The 7,680-nt window shown below is 33.4% G+C and overlaps 1 annotated feature.

The window, feature by feature from the left end:
- Positions 3,919-5,118: an enhancer, noted in NCBI's record as "MED14-independent group 3 enhancer chr7:52250966-52252165 (GRCh37/hg19 assembly coordinates)". NCBI's record gives its function as "activates an origin of replication core promoter dependent on BRD2, BRD4, P300/CBP and CDK7 cofactors, and independent of MED14, by STARR-seq in HCT116 cells {active_cell/tissue: HCT116}" and the evidence as "EXISTENCE:reporter gene assay evidence [ECO:0000049][PMID:35650434]".

Genomic DNA, 7,680 nt, shown 5'->3' with positions numbered 1-7,680 from the left:
TGGAAAAAACATTGACCTTTTAAATGACTACTTGTGTTTCAGAAAGCGGCCAAAGATTTGAAATATAATATTAAACTACTTGTGGAAAATCTTCAGACAATCAGGAAATAAATATAGAAATTATGTAAAAATTACTGGAGGTAAATGATATTTTTATTAGTAGTTGCAAAATAGACTATATTTATTATATAAAACCTGACAATATAAAATGCTAAACTTCTACCTCTGGAACCAGAAAGATAGCAGTTTAACCTGGTTGTTCAGGCAATGATTTTATGCATTTACATAAAGGTTTATGTGAAGTGTCTTAATCAACCACAAAGGTATATAACAATTTAAAATATGCACTCAACCAATAAACTGTGTTTCATATTCAAAAAATCTAAAGCAATCCAGAGAATGAGAGAAAATATTTGCAAATCAAATATCTGATTAGAGATTAATATTCTGAATATATGGAAAATCCCTAAAACTCAACTATAAAAGACCCAGTGTCACTCAAAAATGGGAAAAGGACTTAAATGGACATTTCACCAAAGACCGTAGACAAGAAAGCACATAAAAAGATGATTAACACCACTAATCATTAGGGAAATACAAATAAAAGCCACAATGAGATAGCATTTCACACCCATTAGGAGGGCTATTATCAAAACGAACGCATGAACAGACAAATAGAAAATACATGTTGGTGAGAACTTGAAGAAATTGAACCCTTGTGCATTGCTAGTAGACATGCCAAATGGTACAGCTATTATGAAAAAGAGTATAACGGTTCCATAAAAAGTTAAAAATGTGGTCCAGCAATTCCACTTTTGGGTACATACCCAAACAAATGAAAGCAGGGGTTCAAAGACATATTGTACATTATGTTCATAGCAGCATTATTCACAATAGCCAAAAAATAAAAGCAGCCCAAGTGTCCACCAGTGGAGGAATAAATAAGCAAAATTACGTGTGTGTGTGTGTGTCTGTGTGTGTGTATATATGTATATACAAAGACATATTGGTATGTATGTGTGTATATACATAAATATATGTGTATATGTATACACACATGAATATATGTGTATAGACATATTTACACATACGTGTGTATGTGTATACACACGTATGTGCATATATGTCTGCATGTATGCATACACGTGTTTACATAGACATATGTATACATACATACATGTGTATATGTGTATATACATATGTGTATATGTATGTATACACATCTGTATACACATGTGTGTATATCTATACATACATATGTGTTTGTCTATATTTATTATAATTTTGCTTAGAATAAGCAAATATATATACATATAATATTTATCCTAATTTTTCTTAGTATAAATGAGCAAAATTATATTATTTATTTATACATTTATTATGCATATATACATAAATTATACTTGTATAAATATATGTATACATTTATTATAATTTGGCTTAGAATAAGCAACATTAGGTGTATATATACATATACGTATATGCGTATATGTATACATACATATGTATATACGTATATGTATACATACATATGTATATACGTATATGTATACATACATACGTATATACGTGAGGCAGAATAGGGTCTGGGGGCAGGGAACTTAAGGCCAATTCTTGCTGAATCAAGGAAAAACACCAAGGTCTGGGTCCAGGGAATCTAAGGCCAATTACCACAAACTTTCTAAAGTTAATCCAAAAGGAAAAACCCCATCTCCCCACGCTGAGTAACAAAGGATCAAAGGCTACTCTCCCTACAGCCTTCCCCTGCCATCGCGTCTCAGAGGGAAAGGGAGAGTGCCTTGGATTAGCTGTGGCCAAGCAGGGACCATCCCTTCGTCTGCACGGGGCACCAATTCACCTCAGCCTTAAATTAGCCACAGACCAAATCCTTCATCCACATAAGAAGTAGCTGACAATAACTTCAAAGGGAGTACTTAAGACCCAGAAAACTTTCTAACTTGGCCCTTGAGCCACTTGCAGTGGTCCACTCACAGCTTGTGGAGTGCTTTCTCACTTTAATAAATCCCTGCTTTTGCTGGTTTGTTCCTGCATTTCATTCCTCTGCTACTTTGTGTATTTTGCTCAGTTCTTTCTTCAAAACACCAAGGACCTGGACAACTCATAGTCAAGACCTGGTAACATATTTATGCATATACGAATATATGTATATGTGTGTATATATATTTTGCTTCTGCACATACATGTATGTATACATATATATGTATATATGTGTCTATTAGAGACCTAATTTTGCTGGTTGATTATAAGCAAAATTATTATATATATGTGTGTGTGTGCATATATAGCTAAAGGAAGGAGATTCTGACATATGTTATAGCATGGCCATGGCATGAAGACATTATATTAAGTTGTATCAATCAGGGTTCTCTAGAGGGACAGAACTAATAGGATAGAGAGATATGTATAAAGGGGGATTTACTAAGTATTAACGCACACAATCACAAGGTCCTACAACAGGCCATCACAAGCTGAGGAGCAAGGAGAGCCAGTCTGAGTCCCAAAACTAAAGAACTTGGAGTCTGATGTTCAAGGGCAGGAAGCATCCAGCAGGGGAGAAAGATGTAGGCTGGGAGGCTAGGCCAGTCTAATTTTTCACGTTTTTCTGCCTGCTTTATATTCACTGGCAACTCATTAGATGGTGCTCATCCAGATTAAGGGTGGGTCTGCCTTCCCCAGTCCACTGACTCAAATGTTAATCACCTTTGGCAACATCCTCACAGACACACCCTGGATCAATACTTCCCATTCTGCAATCAAGTTGACACTCAGTATTAACCATCATATAAGTGAAATAAGCCAATCACAGGAGGACTTGTACTGTGTGTTTTCACTCATACGAGGTACTGAGAGTAGTCAAATTCATACACACAGGCTGGTCACCAGGGGCTGGCATGAAGGGAGAATGGGGTGTTATTGTTTAGTGAATACAGAGCTTCAGTATTGCAAAGATGAAAAAGTTCTGTGGATAGGTGGTGGTAATAATTGCTCAACAAAGTGAACATACTTAATGCCACTGAATTGTACATTTTAAAATGGTTAAAATGCTTAATTTAATGTTATAAATATTTTACCACAATTTCAAAAATAAATTTAAACTCAGCTTATTGGAGATTTTAGCACGTATATCTAAGTGATAAAGTAGCAGACAAAACATTAAGATGTGAACAACCCAATTAAGAAATGAGACCTACCTGACAGAATTTTTCTGTACATTGGCCCAACAATGACAGAATATACATTTTTCTCTGCTGCACACAAATATGAAATTTGGCTCACATTACATGGTGACATAATCTGGGTCACAAAGTATCAACACAGTTAAAAGAATTGAAAACAAATATACAGCACTTTCTCTAACACAATAGTACAGAGATAAAATCAGTAACATATAAATAAAAAAGCACTTTAAATCTTTTCTTTGGAAGCTAAGTGATATCTTGTAAAATAATCCATGGATCATAAAGGAAATCACAAAGGAAGTTTGAAAACATTTTAAAGTTAATGATAAGGAAGTACCAACTTATCAGTTCCATAAGCTAAAGGTTTTCTCAGAGGGAATTTTATAGAGTAAAAAAATCTATGATCTAACTATTGTGAGGGACCAGAATATGCCACCCCTACATGTGTTTCATTGGCTTGAGGATTGTTGAGCTTAAGGCAATAAGAGGAAATAAATGCAGGAAAGTTCTCTGCACTCTCTCTACTTGCCCAAAATCAAGACATAAAGTAAAGACAAAGATCCTCTCCCTCCCCTCACTACCAGTGTGAACCAAGGGTCACCACTGCTACAAATTAATTTTTGGTGCCACAAAGGAAATAGCACTTGAATATGAATTTTCTTGGCAAGACAATTTTACTTTCTGCAGAAAGGGTGCTTCTCGGAAGCTTGATTGTCATGAAAGCACCACAAACAAAGAAAGGCAGAGGTTTTTATCCCTGACGCATTGGGTCCTTACTGCTGTGTCCTATCTTCACTGGCTAGAGCTGGACCGCACAATCTAGACTGATCCCGATTGGCTAAAAACTTAAAACTTTCCTAAATAGGTAAATGCGTGATGGAGAACAAAGAAAGGATGGAGGTTGTTTATAGAAAACTATGAGAATAATAACATTTCCAAATAAGGAAGAGGCATAGGTTGTAAGCCGGGAAATGCCTGGGCATGTTTGGACACGTCTGAGGAGGCTAAAGGTCTGAACAAATAACTTGGTTAAAGTACAAGGACATAGAACGTACTTATTCCCTTACTATATTTAACTACATAGGGCTTAACAGTTATTAGCAAAAAGCAAGGAAACTTGAAGGAAGTTAGTTTTTAAAAGAAACTATTATTTCTAACACTTACTATTTATTCTTTAACAAAAGGGAAACTTTGAAGAGGAACTTTTAACTTTTCACACCACTAAACAGCTTTAGGCCTTTCTGGGTCCAGCCTTTGTCTGCCACTTACTTGCCTTGTCCCAAGTTGCCAGCCCTAGACCTCAAAGTCCTTTTCCTTGTTTTTGTCACTTCTCTAAACATGTCCTGTTCTTTGATAAAGATGCCACATCAGCTGGAAATAAATACCACCTTTTTGAGCACTACTCATTCCCTGAGTTTGTCCCAAACTTCTTTTTGTTTTTCTTTTATTAATGTCTTTTGTTACATGGGTCCATTTCAACTAAGAACTCAAGAGGGCAGAGGAAAAAAATATTTTTCTTCCGCTCTAGTAACCATTTTTAAAAATTAGGAAAAAATATCATGAAACTGACTCCAAAAATCACTAATGAATGAAGCTACGGATTGATAGGTATAAATCTGAGAAAAATGCTGAAGTCTATTAAAGATACTAAATGTGAAAACGGGCAAATATGTTCAAAAATTTCTTAGAATAAAAAGATAATTCCATATTTATATTTGTGCAAATAATATAAAAATAGCTGTCCAAAATAAATAGTGCAATTAATCAGACATAAAAGAACATAACTCATTTACTATAAAGCCAATAAAATCAATTCATAAATCTTTTATGAGGAATACTTAAAGATATCAACAAGCATGTAAAAAAGAACTTGAAAATCAAAAGAAACACTATCTTTGTTAAATACAAAGCTTCCATAGACAATAGAAAAATATTGTCTCTGAATAATCTATTAATTTAATATGATCTTAAAAGAACTTCTAGTCCTAGACAAGCTGATATAAATGTCATATAGAATATTTACAAAAATTCTGAAAATAGGGAAGAATAAAGAGAGTAGCTCACTAAATATATACATATACATATATATATATATATATATATATATATATATATATATACTATATATATCATCAGTATATATGTGTGGGGATTGGAACAGTATGCTTTGTATAGTACTACAACAGGAGTAGACAAATCTATCAAAGGAATCATATTTTACATTTAGTAATGTATTAGAACAACTATGTGTCAGTATTTTTAAAAAATAAGCATTTGACTTTTGCGACACTTTTCATACCAGAGTGAATTCCAGAAAGCTCAAGACTCTAATTTATGTAATATATAATTAACTTCATGAGAAAAAAAAATAACTCGATAGAAAATATGAACAAAGAGTAAGGACATATATTCACAGAATGAGAACTATGAATGGCTCTTAAACATTACTTAGATGTGACTCATTATAATGAGGCCTCATTACAATTATGAGACACATTAAATAAACTCAGTGGACGGCTCTCTCACCTACCGTATTGGGAAATGTCAAAAAGTCTAAGAACACCCTCTGTTGATTGCTGCATAGGCAGTCAATTTTACATCTTTACTTTGGGAGTACAATTTGGAACGCAACCTATGAAGGGTGATTTTATAATAAAAGAACTCATTTACTATAACTAAGAGACAATTTGCAAATTTTATCTGAAAAATGCTTAAATATACCAATAGGCACAGTGATGTCAGGAAGGAAAATTAGGGTCTACTTTTAGGTATCAAAATTTTAAATGTACACATCCTTTGCCCCCCACATAATTCCAATTGTAAGCATTCATTTACAAATAAAAATCAAGATCACATGCATAAAGATTATTTTTAGTCAGTATGTGTCATTGAAAAGGTTGGAAATATCATAAATATGTCAAATCACTTAATTAAATTATGATATATCCAAATGAAATAATATGCAGCTGTAGGAAAAAAATGAACTTTACATAGTCATATAAAGTGACCTCAAAGATATTTATACAGATGAATAAGCAAAGTATAGAATAGTGTGTGGGGTGATTATATGCACCTATTAGTTTAAATATTTAAAAAAATTGTCTACACAAACACAACAATCTGTACCCACTGGCTCCCTCTTGGAGAGGGGAAAATGGAGGACAAATTATCTTGTGTTATTCTGTAGTAACAAAGAACTCCAAAAGCTCAGTGCATCAACACGCAGAAACATTGCTCCTTGCATATACAAAGTCCATAGTGGCTATCAGGGCAGTTTCCTCCATGGAGGCCAATTTAATCTTGTTGCTTTTCTGCCTAACAAGGAAGCCTTCTCCACAACCATGCCAGCAGAAAAAAGCCTAGAGAATTTGACAAGAGTGTTTCGCTCCCTCAGCTTGGAAGGGATCCACATCACATTTCATTGTCCTGAAACAGTTCCATCTGCTATCCATGTGGAGAAGGCTGGGTCACCTGGCCTCTGCATCTGTGAAGGGAAGAATAGACATCGGGCAGCACCAGCAATGTCTGCCATGATCCTTTTGCTAATTTTTAGGTTTGACCAAGAGAATTTATTACTCTCTCAAAAGACAAGTATGTACACATTTAATGAAGATACAAGTGAACAGAAATGAACAAAGTCTTTGATTGTACTCACATGCAGCTCTGCATCCATCTATTCACAGTACTACTCATCATAATAGTAGACAATAGGATTGGGCAATTTATTCTATCACAACTCAGGGAAGATTCCCAACGTATTTAGAATGATAAATAATTACATTGAATACTGACCTGTTTATCAACATAATGTTTTTATCCCCATAAGACTATGATAATTCCAAATATTATTTTATATGATTAACATCATAAAAGTGATATTTAAAATAATACACACAATTTAAAATAATAATATTTAAAAATGGTACCTATGTGTATTCTACTTCAAAGGGTAAAAAAGAAATTTGTAACTACCAAAGAAAGGTAAATTCAAAGAAGATGAAGAAGAGGTAATGCTGCTGTCTACTGTCCACATTTTGTACATTTCAAACTTTCTACTACAAACTTACCTTAATTATTTTTAAATAAATCAATTAATTAGTAATGAAAATGTGAACTAGTCCCATTATCAGTTGAAAACAAAAACACCACAATCAGAAGAATAAAAAGAAAGAAAACATAACCTAGTAAAATATGAAAATTAACACATAGAACATTTTATAATTTGTATTGCATGAAATTATATATGAGGTAAAGGATATTTGGGGAAGAAACAAATTATATTTATTGCAATACTTATGATAAAAATAGAAAGTAGAGACGTACTTTTTCCTGTCTAATTAAATATTTTGAATAATTTTAATATTAAGCTTTTTCCAGTTGTCAAACACATTCACCTGTAAAGTATCAGTCATCATCGCTGATGCAGTTAAAATGCAAGAGACATTTTCAAATATGCTTTCAAGCCATGTAAAATGTGGTT

This window comes from Homo sapiens, chromosome 7 (assembly GCF_000001405.40).
Source record: "Homo sapiens chromosome 7, GRCh38.p14 Primary Assembly".
NCBI classification, from domain to species: domain Eukaryota; kingdom Metazoa; phylum Chordata; class Mammalia; order Primates; family Hominidae; genus Homo; species Homo sapiens.
Note: the sequence above shows the minus strand (reverse complement) of the source record. Positions and strands in the feature narration are given on the sequence as shown.